The sequence below is a fragment of the Homo sapiens genome, chromosome 8, assembly GCF_000001405.40.
Source record: "Homo sapiens chromosome 8, GRCh38.p14 Primary Assembly".
NCBI lineage: Eukaryota > Metazoa > Chordata > Mammalia > Primates > Hominidae > Homo > Homo sapiens.
This window is the reverse complement of record NC_000008.11, coordinates 11,179,987-11,200,232: the sequence shown is the minus strand read 5'-3', so window position 1 is coordinate 11,200,232 and position 20,246 is coordinate 11,179,987. Positions and strand designations below refer to the sequence as shown.

General features: G+C 39.8%; 1 protein-coding gene across 7 annotated transcripts in view, besides 1 other annotated feature; it reads left to right on the top strand.

The window, feature by feature from the left end:
• XKR6 (XK related 6) overlaps positions 1-20,246 on the top strand; it is a 305,789-nt gene that overhangs the window by 1,601 nt on the left and 283,942 nt on the right. For 2 of the 7 annotated variants that reach the window (XR_948899.4, NR_138152.2), the window contains exon 2: positions 5,012-5,142. The exons of 4 other annotated variants lie outside the window; for them this stretch is intronic. Coding sequence is in view for 1 of the 3 variants with exons in the window: in XM_011543821.3 (XP_011542123.1) it covers positions 5,012-5,111 (100 nt within the window). In the remaining 2 variants the exon portion in view is untranslated. Of the gene's footprint in view, positions 1-5,011; positions 17,539-20,246 lie in introns of those variants that run through there. One more of the 7 variants, XM_011543821.3, reaches the window with a different exon arrangement.
• Positions 677-796: an enhancer, noted in NCBI's record as "active region_27001". NCBI's record gives its function as "activates an Ori minimal core promoter by ATAC-STARR-seq in GM12878 lymphoblastoid cells {active_cell/tissue: GM12878}" and the evidence as "EXISTENCE:reporter gene assay evidence [ECO:0000049][PMID:35858748]".

Here is a 20,246-nt window from a genome sequence, read left to right as displayed (position 1 = left end):
GGCTGCACCCCAGCTCGCGGCCCCGGGGAGCCTTCCCTCCTCCAGCCGCTGCATTCGGGTTTGTTCCCAGGTGAGACATCCTCCCCTCTTCCCCCGTTCTCCCTCTGCAGTGGCCTGCGTGGGGCCCTGTGGAAAAACCCTTGCTGCCGCCTCCGAGCACTCCTGGATTCCACGCCCCTTCCCCCTCCTGCACTCCCAGCCCCTGTGAATGACTCCAAACCACTGCTTTCCCAGAAGGAAAAAAGACTTTTTTTTTTTTTGGTTTGCTGGATTAGACGTGTCCTTTTCTTAGCGACAGGTAAAAATGGGATAAAATGTGATGGGCGCGAGCGTTTGGTGTTAACTCTCACCTCCAGAAAATCAGTTAAAGCCACCTGGATACCTATTCTGGGGAAACGATGTTTTTGGTAGCCAGGCCAGTGTGTAAGTGATTTATATTTACACAAGACGCAAGCTTGGCTTTGCGGCCCTTTCTCGTTTTGTAAATTTCCCGTGTCCCAGTTCAGTCCCTCACAAACCACTTGCAGGTGTTCTTTCTGCCGTGGCCTTCACTGACTGCCTCACTGGCTAAACTGAGGAAATGAACCCATTCACACCTGGGTACATCTGTGCCCTCTTACTTAAATTAGCTTGTGTGTATTCTGGAAACAGTGAGTTGTAGGTGAGAGCATTTGCAAGAGAAAAAAATCTTACTGAAGATAAATTACACAGGGACAAGCTCTTCAAGTGCATGGCTTCTGTGAGAAGACATTTTGCCTAGGCTGCCCTGACTCCAAGCTTAGTAGGAGATTTTAGGCATTTAGTAGTTCAGGTAACAGATATACCCAGGTTAGCTGAAATAAAGTCTGCTGTCTTTTTAATGGTTTGTCCAGATCTCTATTCAGCATTTATTTAAATAAAAACGTTTCAGAAAACATGGGATTGAATTAAGTCAAATCATGAGAGTAGATGCAATAACTTTGTCTCCTGCTGGATTTACGTGCAAATTCAGGCTAGGGGAAGTGAGGGTGGTTCCGTAGGCCCTGCACCACCCAGAGTTGTTTACTAGCCTTTCTAGGCTGAACCAAACAGCTTTTTTTCTAGCTGCATTTGTCTGCAGATAATTTGTTTCCTGCTGATAAGTTTATAAGAAGTGAGAGAATAAAATAGGAAAATGCCGATTAACTTTTAGCTGTTATAAGCATAGCTTGGGGTCAAATAAAATTCTGAAATACGTTTTAAATTTGAAATCTAAATTCCTAAACACCCACACACTCAAAGTCATATCGAATGAAAGGTAGTGTGTTTGGTATTGGAGATACCTTTTTTTTTTTGGGCGGGGGCTGGGGGTTGTTTTCTGGTTGTTAAGATGCCAGGAATGAAGCAGGGGAGGGACAAAAAGTATGGGGAAGAGAGATTTTAACATACCAGTAGAATTCAGCAGCATGTACTGGTAGGCTTCTGCTGAACAAGCCGAAGTGTGGGCAGTAAAAATGTTGGTGTCAGGTTAAAATTCCTGAGAGAACTGTTTCTAATGGAATCTGTCCTGGACACTTACTAGTAGTAAGCTTTGAGACAGAATGAAATTGGAGTAGAATAAAATCCCACCTCCATTCACCTAAATGTTAATTGTTTCTTGGCAAAGTGGAAGTCCAGATTTTAGGGCAAACTGAAAAGTACATTTAAAATGTCAATTTAGCTTTTGTAGTTGTATGTAGGGTAGTATTTTTTTTTTTTCTGATCTTAACTTTCCTCTGCATTGATATAAAGTGCCTGTGACTTTACTGTCTAGTTTTTTTTTTACATCTTTTTTCAAGATTAGAATATATCTCTAAATATTTCCTAAAGTTAACTTATTAAAAGACATGCTAATTTTAGTAAGTTATTTCTTCTAACATAGCTATACTTCAAAAGCAGTATTTACTGAGGAAGGATTTTATTAAAAAAATTTTTTTTCCCAGTTAGATGGTTTTGCTTGAAATACTGCAGGAACATGGTCTGCTGTTTTAATACCTGCTAGCCATGTTGTTTGCGTTGAAATCATTCATATGTAAAAGCTTTAGAGGAATTCTTGTTTTAATCTTTCGGCAAACAATTGCTTGTCAATGTGTTTGAACATACATCATCTCTGTTTTTATTGAAGATCTTTTGGGGTTATAGTTGTTGCCTTAAACATATTTGCTGTGGAAACTTTGCTATTTCTTATGGTCACATAACATAAAGGTTAAGATCTAATATTTCTATCATTTGGTTTGGGCCGCATCTCTAAGAAAAGATGTCAGTGAAGTTGTACATTGTCAAAACTGATTCCATTAACCCGTGAATACTTGTCTCTTTACATTTTTTAATGTAAAATTATTTGGTTATAGCTTGGACAGAGCACAACACCGATTTAATAAAACTTAGTTTCCCTCGATATTAAAGTGGGGCACTTCTCTGCATCTTGCCATTCCTGTCAAGATGGCAAATACTTGACGTCTTTTATCAAATAACTTTACAGAATGTAAGAAAATATTTTGGCTGGGCTGAAATTGGAGCATGGAAGAATGGTTGTCTGTAGAATGATGTGGCCCCATGAACCTGCTTTGCAGAGCACTAGTGTGTGATTAAGGTCTTTTTCATGCATGCCTTACTCCCACTAATTACTAAACATGTAACAGCGTCTGTACAGCTTGATGTGCTTTATTTTTCAGGTGCTTTTTGTGGGGATAACTGGCATGTGAATCACTTATTCCAGGAGCAGGAGTCACATTGGGCTTCACTTTTGTACAATGTGTTGTTAATAGAGAGTGAGAGCATTTTCTTGGAGGGTTTGGCTTTAGGAGCAGTGTGATTTAGTTTGCCTGTTGCATTGATGTATGCAAGTTTTCCTTTCTGCTATTGTCCTTTCTCTGCTTTTGTGTTACTTTTAGAGGTTGCTTAGTGCATTGTCAGTTCTCTTCAGTCAAGAAGCAACAGTTCTTTGACCAAAATTTCATGGCCACATCATTAATCTCCCATTTAATGGATGTAGTTTTATGTGTGTGTTTGCACCCTTCTATTTCAGAGTAAAAGGAATTTACTTAACTTGTTTATACCACTTGCCATATTTAAGAGGATCGTCAGTGGTTCTTTATCTTGTGAGATGGGATGTGGTAGAGGGTTGCCTTCAGGAGAGTAAAAAGGAAAAGGCATTTTGCATTTTATAATGGCACCATCCAGTTGAGCGGTCTACAGCTCTGTTTTAGCGTTGTTTTCTGATTTGAGACTGGTGGAATTTGGATATGCAGCTCTCTACAAAATCTGCAGTGAATGTTGCTGGGCTGGTGAAGATGCTTTATTATTTTTTTAATCACTCCCCTGCCCTCCTGTCTGCTCCTCTATGTAGGGATACTTAGTTTATTATGGGTCTTTGTTCATGTTGACTATTTTACAAGAGTGGTTCTTAGTTCTGGCTGAGAATAGAATCTGTTGCAGCACTTAAATAGAAAGGCCGAGGCACTGCTGGACCTGCTGAAGAAGACTCCCTGGGGAGGACACAAGAAGTCATAGTTTTAGAAGAACCACAAGTGATCACGTGGGAACCCCACGCTTGAGAACTGGATTTCAGGCTTATTCCACTTGGAGAGGAATATTAGATTTGTGTTCTTAATAAATATGATGGCAGAATTGGGAAAGGAATGATCGGGTACCATTAAGTTTGGCCCCTGGATAATACCATAACAAAATGACTTTACCTTGGAAGCATGAGTGTCTAAAAGTACCTCAGGTGTACTCAAGGGTATGCACTAATGGTACTCCATGTTTTCTGTTTTTTTTGGTTGTTGTTGTTGTTTTTTTTGTTTTGTTTTGTTTTGTTTGCTTTTTGAGCTCAAGTATTAATCTCATTCTGAAAGAATTCGCAAATTCAAAACAGTGTTCAATAAATGTAGCCCACTTCTCTTTGCCTTTTATGGGATACAAATAATGTTTATGTTGCGTGTGAAAGGTATAATAATTCTGTTTAATTCTGAAGTGATTCTATTAAATAGGCTTGAGGAAACATAACTGGGATTATGAGTGGTGTTGGGATAAGTGATCTGTAATGTCCCTCTAATGCTAAGATTTTGTGGTTTAAGAATGGTAATATTCAATATTTAGATACCTACAAATGAGGAGATTCGTTTGTGTGGGGCCAGGGTACCATTATAGACACATTAATAGATTGTATACTTGCATTTGTGGGCTGTGTGGGTGTGTGGGTAGAGAGAGAGTGTACTTTATATGCTTATTAATGGGTGGCAATCTAATTGTAAAAATAGCTTTTTTTTTTTTTTCATTTTATCCATAAACTTAATGGAATTCTGGTTTAAAAGAAACTCAGTGGGAGGCCGAGGTGGCGGATCATGAGGTCAGGAGATCGCGACCATCCTGGCTAACATGGTGAAACCCCATCTCTACTAAAAAATACAAAAAAAAATTAGCCGGGCGTGGTGGCGGGCGCCTGTAGTCCCAGCTACTCAGGAGGCCGAGGCAGGAGAATGGCGTCAACCCGGGAGGTGGAGCTTGCAGTGAGCCAAGTTCGCGCCACTGCACTCCAGCCTGGGCGACAGAGCGAGACTCCATCTCAAAAAAAAAAAAAAGAAACTCAGTGGGATTTTTCTGAGGGGAAAGTTGAGTAAAATTGATCTAAGAAAAGTATAAATGTGTTTGAGTAGTCAAAAAAAACTTTGAAGAATGTTGAGACTTACCTGATCAGGAAGTGGATGTGCTATAATGTGTCAATAATTAGACCAATGTGCAGAGAAATTAAGCAGATAGTTCGCAAAGGAGAATAAAGAGTCTGTACATATATTGATATGTTAGTGAGAATTTAGTACATAGTAAAGGTGGCATTGCTAATCAGTGGATAGAAAAAGAATTATTTAACATGATATTAGCAGTTGACTATCCATTTGGAAAAAAAAATGAATCTCTACCTTAGGTAAACAGAAATGCTAAAAGAATGAAAGGTGTAAACATAAAATGTTAAACTGTAAAAACACTAGGGTGATTATTTTTTATAATGTTGCAGTGGGCAAGACCCTTTGGTACCATCAAGGAAAAGAAGGAGCAGATTTAACCACATGAAGTTGCCTCACCTGGTTTCTTCCCTTCTCCCTCCTCCCATCTGAAAAATCCAGAAATACTTGCTTAGCTGTGAGGGTAAGTGGGTTAAATTGAGACAGAGATACTTCCTCCAGGAGAATGAATAAGAAGAGAACATCTCTAAAGATTTATTTCTTGTTTTTGAGTGAACAGTAACCCTAAAAACTTGACATTTATGGTAAATTTTCAAGGGAAGGGGATGAAAAAATGGCATGCTTTGGAGCGAAATTGCAACTGGGGATGCAGCATAGTATTTCCAGAAGGATCCAGAAACAAAGTGTCAAAATCTGTATTGTAAGAAGGCTGGTGCTCCTGAAATCTAGCAGGCAGGTGCTTACTAGAAGTCACAAGTTGTTCATTTCTGTCTTCAACATCATTTGATACTATAGACTTATTCATAAGGTCAATTGCCTAGTCAGGCTTATGCAGTGCAGTGGATAGATTCTGTAATGTTGGAAAGATTCTGTGGGATGGAAAGATTCTGTGGGATGCAAAAAGAAACTGTGTCTCTGATGTTGCCATTTTCACCCCAGGATGATTTGCTTTACAACGTGCTGTCTGCAAATAAGTTTGTGGTTAAAATTTTAGTTTACTCCCCATGATGTGCTATTCATCTAGTTTCTTCTCATCAGGAATTCTGGATTTCTTATTTGCCTCTTAAAAAGTAAAACTTTTAAAAAATTTATGAAAATATAACCTCATTTAACAAGTTCATTGACTTTTGACTAATTGCCTAAAGACAATCCACTGCTTACCGCTATTGGAGATACTTAAGAAAAGCGCAGGACATAGCCTGGTATGAAGGGAATGACTGGTGGAATTAAGAAGTCAGGTTTCTCACTCTGCAAGTTACAAACAACCACTGGCCTCAGTTTCCTCATATTTATCAAACAAGCAGTTAAATGGATTGATCTTTAATGTCCCTTCAGTGTAAAAAAGTTCATTATGCTACAGGTATTTGTGCTTTGAAAATAGCTTTAAAGAGGGAATTTCAGATTCTGGTTTGATCACTTAATCTATTTTTAAAGCAAGTGTGTATGTCTCCTAGGTGCTGATTCGGAGTAGAGTTCTAAGTCCTGCCATGGATTGTTTTGACTTATTAAACAAATTCTCATTTTGTGTCACCTATGTATAGGGACATTTTGGAGATCTCATTAGTTAATGTTAAAATTTATGGCAGACTAAACCTACTGAGAAACTTGTGCTGACTTTATCAGCTAATTTTGTGAATTTGCAATTTCAGCTAAAATTAAACTATATTTTTCAGTAGTCTTTTTTTTGTAATCTGTTTAAAATTTTTAGTGGTAGATTAAGCTAAAGCAATATATGCGTATCTGTTTAAGCCAAGTATTTTGGAGGTTTTTCTGAATTGTTTACCAAGGTTAATTTCTTTTGTGGGGGGGGGGGGGTCAGAACCTTAAAATTACCTGCTGTAATTTGTTGTTTGAGATGTGTTCTTTAACTTTGAAAAGTTAGTGTTTGTAAAAAAAAAATTTTTTTAGTGATACCATCAGGTCACTTGAGCTCTTTTAGGAAATAATTCTGTTAAGTGAATTTTTTTGTTTGTTTAGATTAAGGTATAAGTTCTCTTTTGACACTAGTCGAATTTTTAGGAAAGATGGAATTTGCTGAGAGAATTCAGTGGCTATTGTTACAGTGACATTAATATAGTTCTACATAAAATTCTACATGAGATTTTTCATTTCTGTATTTCTAATGTGGGTAGATCTTGGTATATTGTATTATTTTAATATAGCTCAAAACATACTACAGCACCCTATGGTATTTTACAGATTTCTAACAAAAAATTTCTTCTCATTGACCTCTTTTACTTTTGAAATATTAAACAAGTGGTTTAAAAAATAATTTTTGTTTTGAATGGAGTGTTTTTGTCTTCTTAGTTTAAATGAGGAAGCAATTTCTGTTTTATCTTGGTCACTGATTTAGAGCATGGACTGTGCTCATCATTCATTTCTAGGAAGAAATTAGAGTATTCATTTCACAGAGAGCTACATATTGTTTTCTTCACCACCCTCTTGGAGGAAAGGTAGGGTTGATAATTACGGTTTGCCCTGGCCACATGCTTTCACTCATGGGTAGGTGAGCTAAAACATTCATATCACCATGATGCTTCCTTTTCTTTCCGTCTTAAATAGACAGGACAAATGAGGAAAGGCAGCAGATTTGAGGAAGATGCCAAACCCATGGCTTGGGAAGCTTGCCAGTGAAGTTGAGCAGGCAGGGCAATCTAGAACTCAGGCCCCTCCAGAGGGCAGGTGCCTGACTTTCTCACTTCAGCTGTGTTTCTTCAAGTGTGGCAGAGACTCCTGTGTTAGGAGAGCCCACGGGGCCATTAACATGCGGATTCCAGGCCTTACTACAGACTCCAGGATCAGAGCCTCAGGGAGTTGGGCCAGGGAGTGTGTATTTTTGCTCAATTTTTATTATTGAAGCTTTGAAGCACACAGGGAAATAGAGCAGTATAATGAACACCTGTTACCATTCACTTGGCTTCAGTAATTTTTTTTCTAAAGAAACAGATTCTCACTCTGTTTCCCAGGCTGGAGTGCAGTGGCGTGAGTATAGCCCCCTGCAGCCTTGAACTTCTAGGCTCAAGCAGTTCCCTTGCCTATGCCTCCTGAGTAGCTGGGGCTTGAGGCGTGTGCCACCATGCTTTACTCGTTTAAAAAGATTTTTGTAGGCCAGGCGCTGTGGCTCACGTCTGTAATCCCAGCACTTTGGAGGCTGAGGTGGATGGATCACGAGGTCAGGAGATCGAGACCATCCTGGCTAACATGGTGTCTCTATTAAAAATACAAAAATTAGCCGGGCGTGGTGGCACGCGCCTGTAGTCCCAGCTACTCAGGAGGCTGAGGCAGCAGAATCGCTTGAACCCGGGAGGCGGAGGTTGCAGTGAGCCCAGATCGTGCCACTGCACTGCAGCCTCAGTGACAGAGCGAGACTCCACCTCACAAAAAAAAAAAATTTTTTTTGTAGAGATGGGGTCTTGCTATATTGCCCAGGCTGGTTTTGAACTCTTGGCCTCAATCAGTCCTCCTGCCTTGTCCTCCCAAGGATTATAGGCGTGAGTCGCTGTGCCTGGCCAGTTGTTAATATAGATATATTTATCTGTATGTGTGTGTATTTAACACATATCCTATCCTGATGTTGCACCTCTAAATACTTCACCTCAAATATGAAATGTTTAGAATCATTCTACAAAGCTACAATATTATTATTGCACCTAAGAAAATTAAGAGTATTTCCATAATTATCCTTAATTCGTAAAATCATCTAATAGCTGTTTTGTACTCAGATTTGCCTAGTTGTCCCCAGCAAATTTGCTTGTGGGTTTTTTCTCCCCTCCAATCAGGGACTTGATAAAAATTTATGAATTATATTGCTGTTTCTTTAGAATAGTCCCTCTCTGTTTTTTTTTTTTTTTTCTCATGACATTGACTTTTTTCCAGTGTCCTGTCCATTTCTCTTGTCTGCTCATATTTTGCGTTTCCTGAGTGTCTCTTGCAGGTGTCGTTTGCACTCTGTATTTCTAGTAAACTTGAAGTTGCATCTAGGGGCTGAATTACATTCAGGCACAAATTTTTGTCAGAAGTACTGCTTTCTTCATGTTGGCATCATATCAGTAGGCGCCCCATACGTGTTTTGTCCCACTATTAGTGATGCTAAGTTTTATCCCTTGGTTAAGGTTGCGACTGCCAGATTTCTTTATATAAAGGTAGTTTTTCCCTTGGCAATCGGTAGGTAACTTGTGGGGTCATATGTTAGCAAAGTATCAGTGTCTCTTTTCCTAAATACCGTTTACCTTATGGTTTTAGTGTCTTTTGGGAATCCTTGCCGGAATCAATTATTAAGTAGTTGTTGTTGGTGGGTGTATGTGTTTTAAACAGGCTCCCTGGTAATTCTAACCTTTAAGGTTTGATAGCCACTGCTGTCCTATTAATAGAACTAGGAGCTGAGTTATCAGGTCTGTTGAATGGGTTGCCAGTAAACAGTTAATGAGTTTAAGCTTCGTGTTCATTTTAGAGAAACTAAGATCAATAAAGTGCCTCCTAAGGCCCCCTATGTCCTAGTTTAGTTGTTGGAGAGGACATGTGTGTGATACTTGCAGTAAACTTGAGGTGAGCCCTGCTAGTGTGTTAGAATGTATGACAAAAATCCAAGGAGAGTGGAGGAGGCGTAGAGAAATTACTAAGGAGGAAAGGAAACTATATTGAATATTCTGTTTATATATATAGTCTCACTTAATTTTCACAAGCATTTTGTGCCCATTTTACAGATGAAGAAGTGAGCTTAAAGTGATAAAGTAACCTATGGCACTGGTGGAGGAAACTTTTGAAGCCAGAGCTCACAGAGCTGTGGGCGGGACAGAATTAGTTTGCTTTACCTCTGGGACGTTGTTGTCTGGCTTATTGAAGATGGAGGAATGATATTCTTCAACCTCTGGGGCCTCTTGGTATATAAGCTGAGGTTCTTTGAGACCTCTGATGTCTAGTCTAATGTGTTAATATTAAACTCTGCAGAGCTTAGGGTAGGCTTGTAAGTCTTGTAGTTGATTGTAACTGCTGATGAATCAAACAGCTGAGTAATATTAATACCTCTGGGTCTGTGTCTTAGGACACAGTTTTCAGTACCTCACTCCATTCTCTTTCTCAGGGTAGATGCACCTTACAACCCCGTGACTTCCACATTACACAAAGGAATATGTAGGTTTGGCATACCCCACAGGTCCCATGTAAATACTGCACTCAAATATGTTGGTTCTCTGTTGACCTGTTGGAAACATTGAGAACAGCAGTTGTATCCCAAGGATATAAAGAAGCTGTTTTCTTTTCTTTTCTTTTATTTTCCTTTCTTTTCTTTTCCTTTCCTTTCTTTTCTTTTCTTTTTTCTTTTTTCTTTTCTCTTTCTTTCTTTCTTTCTTTTCTTTCTTTCTTTCTTTCTTTTCTTTCTTTTCTTTCTTTCTTTTTTTTTGGGACAGTTTCACTCTTGTTGCCCAGGCTGGAGTGCGGTGGCGCGATCTCGGCTCACTGCAACCTCTGCCTCCTGAGTTCAAGTGATTCTTCTGCCTCAGCCTCCCACGTAGCTGGGATTACAGGCATGAGCCACCATACCCGTCTAATTTTTGTACTTTTAGTAGAGAAAGTGTTTCACCATGTTGGTCAGGCTGGTCTCGAACTGCTGACCTCAGGTGATCTGCCCTCCTTGGCCTCCCAAAGTGCTGGGATTACAGGCGTGAGCCACTGCACCCGTCCAAAGCAGCTGTTTTCAAACCTTGGCTGTGCATCAGAATCACTTGAGGAGCCAGATATTTGAGATCTACCATAAGAGACTGTAATCCAAGAGATCTGGGATGGGCCCAAGAATCTATATATTTAAAAAATCTAGGTTTTCAGAAAGTTCCCTAAGCAGTACACAGACAGGGATGAGAAGCATAGTTGTACAGGCTGATTTCTGCCAATATCTATGAGTTAGTTATCAAGGAGAAGGAGCATATGTTAGAATTGCTTGGGAATTTGTTTTTTGTTTTTGGTAAACTTTTTATCACTAGGCATCTTAGATTTAGAGGGGCGGAATGGATAAAAGAAGGTCCTCAGGTGATTCTAATGGATTACCAGTATTTAAACAATCTGAATGGACCTTTTAGCTGGAGTGGCTTGGCAAAAAGTCTGTATTAACCAAAGAGTTGCTGTTGCCATATATTATGCCTGGATTTAGAATGCAGGAAAGACATTTAACATTAAAATTATGACATATAATTGAGGATTCCTTTGATCCAAAAGCTTCTTTCTTTGGAAGTTTGAAGTATTTCAAGGTCATTATTATGAACACAGATGATCCCCATTGGTGCTCAGAAGTGCCAGGTTAGAGGCATTTTATTATGCTTGGAAATTGATATTTCAATCCAGTGAATTTTGTGTCTCAAATTCAGAAATGTTATATTTGTTGTAATCAGTGCCAAGGATAAGATTCCTAAAAAGAAACTGGTGAATGAAAGAGGAGACATGACCTAATAGATACTGAGTGTCATTAGAGACAGGAAAGAAGGGAGCAGAGAAGAAAAATGGCCTACCTACATTTTGCTTGATAGATTCGTGGGGAGAACAGCCAGGAGAGGGGATGAGGGGGAGTTGGATGGTGTTTACTGGTAAGATATTAGTGTGGCACATCAGCAAGCATCCCTGCATCTGTGCACACTCAATACCTTCCCTTTGCACTCCACCTAGAAATGTACATGGGGATGGTGAGAAAATCCGAGAACCTTGTAACGGAGAAGCTCAGGGCCAGAAATCCTAGGAGAGGCTGGGCTGGCAGAGGTGGGGCCTGGGGTCTGTGGACTTGCACAGGGCAGGGAGGGTTAGATCCTCTGCTCGTTGGTGATTCCGCATCAAAATGAGCAGAACTCCAAATCTGTCATTTTGTTTGGTCATAAGGAAGACAGCTTTTGAGTAGTCAACAGAAGAGTTAATAAATCACCCTACACTGTACATTTAAAAGATGCCACTTTGCCTTCAAAGCTGAAGAAAACTCTGAAGGAAAAGATGATGTCTTCCAAAAAGGAATTCTGTGTTCAAAGTTTAAGCAATCAAGTGGTTTTGGTTGGGCCTAGAGGGTGATGGTATATATGGCTGTGGGTTGGAAGGGAAGAGAAACTACAATAAAGGACTCATTACTCAGTTTGCAGATGAAACAAAAGTTGTCAAAACGAAGCTGAAGTTAGAGACAATCACATGATGAGTTTGGAAAAACAGAATTTGAATGTGTTTGTAGCATTTGTGGACTGTGTTTGGGGCGTCCACTATTTGATAGGAACTGCATACTAATTTTTAGGTAGTTTCTGAGCTGTAATGTGGGAAAGGGTTGGTGTGTACCCAAGCAGGCCTTTATGATTAAATGTGATATGTGTCAGGCATGTTACCTGGTTTTGGATGGGGTCTGATGAGGTTGAAGTGTATTTTTTTGCTTATTGCTTGGCATTTCAACTCACTATCTCAAATTAGCGATGGGCTCATACCTACTGTAATGTGATACACACATTCCTGAAAAACCTCTCATTCTGCAAAATCATACACTAAAAATAACAGGGCTGTAGAAAAAAAAACAGGATTAAGGCCAGACTACTTAAAACTATGTAACTTTGTAAGTGGAACTTTAACAAAAGCAATGACAGTTGAAGTAAAAATACAGGGAGGCTTAACTCTTCCTTGAAACTTGCGCTCAGCATTATACTCAGATGATTGTAGGGGCCTTATTTTATCCTGGGACATGTTCATCCTGGGTTATGTAGATTCATTCTTGGAGATGTTAGTTTATTCTGCAGGCCAGTTTCACTAGAATTAAAGCTCTGTTTCAGAGTGTAGCCTTCATGTGCCCCCACACCATCATTGAGTGATGGAGAGCCCAGCAGATACTGAGGTGACTAAACCAGCCACCCCCATGCCCACTGCTTGCACAAAAGGAAGGTGCTTTGATATGACTGATTTTTCTTAGGGTTGTTTTCTTTTTTGTTGTTTTTTTCTAAGTCTTTCTCATTATTTGTGAAAAAATCTTGGCCCTCAATAGCTTCAAAACGTTAACATGCTGGGAAGAACCACTCGTGAACCAACACTCCTTCTCCATGATACTGTTGTCATTCCCATTTTGCCAGTCATGTGGGAAGGAATCCATGTCCCGGAGACATGTGTTGCAGCAGTTCTGACATGTTTTTGAATCAGCGATGGTGTCACGATGCAGCTTTTGAGAATGTCAAGTTTCAGTTGCATTGGGAAGTTCTTGTTTGGGAGATATCCTATAGTGTTTCAAGGTTAAGTGACATTTCTTACCTTTCTTATGCTTTGTTGGCCCTTGTCTACAATAAAGAACTGAAGTGGAGCTATTTTTGTCCACTTTTACATTCTGCCTCCAAAACCTAGCCATAGGGTGGGATGCTATAATTTCTTGATGCAGCATTGGTATTTGAACAACACACATGAAGCAGGAATGGTTTTACATTTTGGTTCATTTGAAATATGGTTATAGTGAGGTTTTAAATAAATCATCTGAGCTACAGTAAACAAAAAAAGAGCAACACTAGCCAGTTGTCAAGGAAAAGACTGATGGGTAGAATAAACAGACTGCTTTCTGCAGTCTAAACAATCTGTTTTCATGGTTTTTTTCTCTTTCTTTTTGAAGGGTGATTGGGAGAACTTCCAAATTAAGTAGAAGTTAGTTAAATATGAGAGGCAGTAAATCCACAATGCGTATGTTAGTGATTATTACAGCCTGTTTTCTCAATAGCTCTAATAACAACAATGTCAGTGACTGAACACAGTAGAACAGTATTGTTTGTCGTGGGGTGGTATGGCTGGTGGTGGCTTCGACATCCTCAGGGCTCAACACCTCAGCATTCAGTCAGAGAAAGGAAAGAAAGTATAGAGAAAGTATAACTGTTTCTTAAAAACTCTAGCTTGGGCCAGGCGTGGTGTCTCATGCCTGTAATCTCACCACTTTGCAAGGCCAAGGTGGGAAGATCACTTGAGTCCAGGAGTTTGAGACCAACCTGGGCAATGTAGGCAGACCCTGTCTCTACAAAAATTAAAAATAGATGAGCTGGATGTGGTGTGGCACACCTGTGGTTCCCAGCTAGTTGGGAGGCTGAGATGGGAAGACTACTTGAGCCCAGGAGGTTGAGGCTGCAGGGGCCTGTGATTGTGCCACTGCAGCCTGGATAACGGAGCAAGACTCTCTCTCTGTCTCTCAAAGCCCTGGTTTGAAGTGAAGTGAAACACATCACTTCCACTCACATGCCATTGTGAAGAACTAGCCGTGGACCATACCTAGATCAAGGGTGGCTGGGCAACACCTTCACATCACAGGAGAGGTAGACTGCATTTTGGTGGATAGAGACTCAAAGAATTCTGTGTAGATCAGGTACCTTCCAGATTAAAGTGGGATGGGGATGGGGGGGCATGAATGTGTCTATGTGTGTGTATGTATAAAAAAAAATGCTATTGATTGCAGAGTACAAGAGACGATTTCCCTTTAAAACTTTGATTTCTGTTTTGATTCGGGACTTGGCAAGCTTTTTCTGTAAAGAAGTATTTTAAGATGTGTAGCCACAGAAGGCCTCTGATGCACAGTCCCCTCGAAAAATATAAAAAGCATTCTTAGTCTGAGGGTGGTACAGAAATAGCCCAAGCCCTGTTTCCATCGATCAGCTCAAACAGGTAACTATTTAAATTAGCTTTTAAAAATAGTTGTGAAGTTTAATGAAGAGTGAGTCATACTAAATACACTAAACTATCTTGAAATTATACAACTGGAGTTTTAAATAATTTTTCTTTAGATGATATTTCATTGAGGTAAAAATGGCCTTCAGGGACTCAATGAAAAGTATTGTAGCCATGTGCCCAAGACTCATCAGTGTTTCAGGTCTTAAGGAAAAGTTCATCTGGTTGAGGAAAGATTGGATCTTGGTTTGTGAGCACAGCTAATGTACTCTTTCAAAATCATGTCCCATCATTGGAGACTTTATTGGGTGCCATCTCCCAGGAAACTATCCCTAAAAGTGACTACTGATTCTCATCTGTTGAATATATAGATCACCAAATAGATATTTAAAAAATGTGAAAAATTGTACGTACATTTAGAAATTTACTCTAAAACCCCATACAGTAAATCTTCACTGTCATCAGTGAGTTCTTAGAAACTGCAATTTGAAGTGAAACTACGTATATGGAAACCAGTTTTCCCATAGGCTAATTGATACAAACAAGATTAAGTTTCTGTGGCATATTTCTGTTCACAAAAACACCACCAAACTTTTAAGTAAAGACCAAAACACTTCTAGCATTAAACGTTGAAATAAATGTGAGCCATACCTATATTTAAGAAAGATTAATGCAACGTGAGATAATTCTTACCCACTTATTCCACCTGGTCACAGGTGGTCAGAGCCTATCCTAGGAGCTCAGGGCACACGGCGGGCACCAGTCCTGGACAGGGTGCCATCCCATCACAGGGCACACTCACACTCACACCCGCACCCATGTCCTTAGACTGGGACCAGGTAAATGCGTTAATAAACCTAATGTGCCCAGCTTTGTCTGGGAGGAAACCCAGGTACCCAGAGAGAAAAACCACCAGACAGTGGCCCGGTTGGGAATGGATTTTTCTTATCAACTGTGTAACTAAATGATGGTCAATGAAACGATGTTATTTGAGGATGTGCTGTATACTAAAATATATGGAATTCTATTTGGTTTGTGTGTTAGTAACCCCTGGGGATGGATTCAGATGATCTGAAAATTCCTTATTGAGGCTGTGCATGGTGGCTCACACCTGTATTCCCAGCACTTTGGGAGGCTGAGGCGGGTTGATTGCATGAGCCCAGGAGTTTGAGACCAGCCTGGACAACATAGTGAATTCCCGTATCTACAAAAGTGAAAAAAAACTATAGAAATTCCTTATAAAGGTGTTAAATATCTAAATATGACTTAAATGTAAAACCAAACCAGAAATGTTTTCATCGAAACAGGTCAGTATGTTTTGTAAGTTCTTATAGAAAACCATAAAATATTTAAAAAACAGAAATCTACCATTCTAGCCTTGAAGTTTCTAACAGTCAGCTGTCTTAAAATACCTGTTCAGTTAGTTCCAAGTGTTAAGTTACATTTTCTGACATTCTTAATGGGCTTTTAAAAATTAGGTTACTAATAAATGTAATATAAGTGTGTGTGTGTGTGTGTGTGTGTGTGTGTGTATGTGTGTATATATATATATAAAATATGTATTTATTTAGAGGCTATTTAATAATTTAAAAGCTCCTTTACATAGTATCTCCACCAGTTGAGACTGTACCAGGGGTCTGCATGAGGGCTCTTGTTTCTTCTTAAAAAGCCAAAATCTGTGACCTGTGTGGCTAATAAGTAATTATTATCTTCTCAGACTATTGTACTTGAGAGATTAAACTGCAAATTATAATTAGAATAAAACTATACTCTGAAACCTTTAACAGTCTCTGTATGGTGGTAGAGGTCAAATATACACTATGTATGAGATAATTTTTTTGTCTAGCTGATCTTATTAATAGAGTTTTAACACTTTTCGTTATATTTGCTTATATTATCTGGTGCCGGCTCAGTCTTGCCCTTACAGTGGAATCATCTGTTGTAGCCGGGGGATATTATTGCCCAGACTACAGACAGTCCTGACTTGTTGGCATTGTATAAAGCATGCTCCAGATAAACACTACTATGTACATTGCTTCCAAAAGTTCATAGTACTGCAAATGTTATAACCCTTATGCTGTGTTTAAACCCTTATTCCTGAGCCTTTCCGCTTCATGAGCCCACTTGGCCAGACTTTCCAAAAACCGTATTTAGGGGCCTTATAGTAATATTAATCAACACAGATCTTAGGACCTCTTTTCAAGATCAAATAAAAAATGAATTGGTTAACCTCACATTGTAGTTTATTTTGACTAGCACAGATGTAATCTTAAATAATTTTTAAAAATCCAGAAAATAAGCCAGGTGTGCTGGCTCATACCTGTAATCCCAGCACTTTGGGATGCTGAGGTGGGAGGATCACTTGAGGCCAGGAGTTCAAGACCAGCTTGAGCCCAGCATGGTGGGACCCTATGTCTTCAAAAAGTTAAAAAAAAAAAAAAACTAGACAGGTGTGGTGGCGCATGCCTGTAGTCCCATCTACTTGAGAGGCTAAGGAAGAGAATCACTGGAGCCCAGGACTTTGAGGCTGCAGTGAGCTACACAAGACAATAAGTGCTAACAGGTATGTGGAGAAATTGGAACCCTTGTGCAATGATGATAGGAATGTGGAATGGGGCAGCTGCTGTGGAAAGCAATATAATGATTCTTCAAAAAAGTAAACATGGAATTACCACATGATCCAGCAGTTTCAATTCGGGCTGTATATCCAAAAGAAAGGAGGGTCTCAAGGAGATATTTGTACAGCCACATTCATAGCAGCACTATTCACAGTAACCAAAAGTGGAAGCAACCTAAGCCTTCATCAACACAAGTGAATAAACAAAATGGATACAAGACGCATTCAAAGGAATGTTTCAGCCTCAAAAAAAAGGCAATTCTAACACATGCTGCAACATGGATGAACCTGGAGGACATTCTGCAAAGTGAAATAAGGCCACCATAAAAGGACAAACACTATGTGATTCCACTTACAAAAGGGCCGTGGAGGAGTCAAGTTCATAGAGACATAGTAGAAAGGGGGCTGCCAGGGGCTGGGGCGAGGGGATACGTGGAGTTACTGTTAATATGGCACAGAGTTCCAGTTTTACAAGATAAAAACTTGCAGAAATGACTGATGATGCATTGTGAATGTATTTAATGCCACTGAACTGTACACTTGAAAATGGCTCAGATGGTAAATTTTGTTGTATATACTTTGCCACAATTAAAACAATTTTTACAAATACTCTAGATGTTTTTATTTCTTGCTAGCTCTACTACAACTTGAAACACACAAATGAACGAACAAACAAAATCTTTTTCTCTTCCTCACTTAGGACTGTTGCCCAACTTAAAAAACAAAACCACTGCTAATATATCCACACAGGTGACCCATCTGACTTCAAGATATGCCTCTTATCAGTGTCCTGGCCACGCTGACCAGCTGAGGACCAGTCTCAGATGTCACCTAAAAATACTTTAAAACTGATTACTTGCACTTCTACAGCACAGTATGACCATGACCAGGTACAAAGTTAGTCCTGGTGTTAATGCGCCACAGTGATGCCTGTAATGACAGGGTTTAAAAAGACAACCCCAGTCTCATTAAGGCTGAAATTATTCCAATAAAGGAACTGTGTGGTATTTTAAGTCAGAAGAGTGCTCTTTCAAATTCCCCATCCTACGACGTCACCTGTGGTCATGGGGCTCACCACCACCTTATAGCAAGGTCAACAGCCTGGTCCTCCCTTTTGGAGCCCAAGTCCCTAGCCCTGCCATGGACCAGTTAACTTGGGCAAGGTATTTACTCTAAAACCCTATACTGTAAATAGTGTTTATTTTGGTTAGAAAGATGAGGAACAAACTGGGCGTGGTGGCTCATGCCTGTAATCCCAGCACTTTGGGAAGCGAGCGGATCGCTTGAGTGTGGGAGTTCAAGACCAGCCTGGGCAACATGGTGATACTGAGACTGAGATGGGAGTGTGGCTTGAGCCTGGAAGGCGGAGGTTTCAGGGAGCTGAGATCTCGCCACTGCACTCCAACCTGGGCAACAGAGCCAGACCCTGTCTCCAAGAGAAAAAAAAAAATCAGGAACAGCTTTGTGGAAGAAGATACTATGTCATAGGGTTGTTTTGAGTTAAGAATTAATACATGCCAAGTCTCAGAATAGTGCTTGATGCATATAGTAAGTACGTACTGAATGTTAGATATTAACAGCTTTTTCTGCCTGGCTCACTACCTGCCCACAGTGTTGAAGATTTGACTTGGCATTGATGAGGTTCTTCCTCACCAAATTTTCTTCCTTTATATACCTTATCTATTCCTCTTTCCACATATATAAATATACAAAACAAACCTTGCTTATGTGTTCAAAATATTAATAAATTCTCCAAATAAAGGTCTAACAATGTTAAAGCAAGTTACAAATATGTCCCTATGAAATAATTGTTCTCATTGTTGAGTGGAACCAGAAGAAAACTATAGTCACTTTGTAATCTAGTTTTAGGTTGATAATATGCTTGTATAAAAAGGCGATCCATATTCAAGAATAAAATTAGGCAAGCATGTCATCTGAAATACAGTCTGTCTAAAAGTCAAAACATTGTCTAGCACCAAAGAATCTAAAAATGCTTATATAAGTTTTTAAGAAAAAATTTCATTATGAAATATCATACATATGTAAGCTTTTGACTGAAAAACGTTCACCACTCTTCAGTTGATGAAGAAAATATTGAGTATAAATTGTTTATACAACAACCCTTTAAAATCCCCTCACCAAAGATGGACATTAACCAACCATTTCTCATCCTTTCCAAGCAACATTACCAACAAGTCTTAGTGCACTTGTTACTCTCAGGTCAAAGACCTTTTTTGGTTCCTCTTCATTCATAGAATACATCCCAAACTTTTAAACAAAAAGTATGAAGCCTTGTGGGTCCAGAAGACTTCTAACCCTGTATGTCATTATTGTATTGTGTTTTAGCCCTGACTTTCATAATGAATTGTTACAACATTTTATTATTTTTATATTTTAGAGACAAGGTCTTGCTCAGTTGCTCAGGCTGTAGTGCAATAACATGATCATAATGCACTGCAGCCTTGAACTCCTGGGCTGGTGTGCTCCTCCTGCCTCAGCCTCCCGAGAAGCTGGGACTACAGGTGCAGGCCACCACACCTGGCTAATTTTTATATTTTTTTTGTGGAGTTGGGGTCTCAATGTGTTGCCCAGGCTGGGCTTGAACTCCTGGGCCCAAGCATTCCTCCCACCTGGGCTTTGCAAAGCCCTGGGATTGCAGGTGTGAGCCACTGTGCCGTCCAGTCATGACAACTTTGTATTTCAACCAAATCCTTCTCCTGCCCTGTACTATTTGTCTCCATGCTGTTGCACATGCTGTTTCCTTTACTTGTTCTCCACCAGGGATGATTTTGCTTCCCCCACCCTTGCAGGGTATGTGGCATGTCTAGGGACTGGTTGTCACAGCTGGAGGGGTGCTACTGGCATCTAGTTGGTAGAGGCCAAGGGTGATACTAAACTTACTATGATACAAGGAGAGGCTCTCACCACAAAGAATTTTTTAGTCCAAACATTCCTTGTGCCATGGTTAAGAAACCTGACCTGGACAGTCATTTCCCCTGTTCTTTGTTCAGGTTCCAGCCATTCTTTATGCTCTCTTGTTACCTCTTCTGTGAAAGCTGGTTCTGTTCATTCCATCCAGATAATCACTTTTGACTTTGAATTTTCCCAGACAAAGCACTTTTGTTACTTAATACCTTTTATTATTTTTATTTTTAATTTTTTTTGAGACAGGGTCTCAGTCTGTCGCCCATGCTGGAGTGCAGTGGTGCTTATCATAGCTCACTGCAACCTCAACCTCCCAGGCTCAAACAGTTCTCCCACCTCAGCCTCCCAAGTAGCTGGGACTACAGGTTTGTGCCACCATGCCCAGCTGTTTT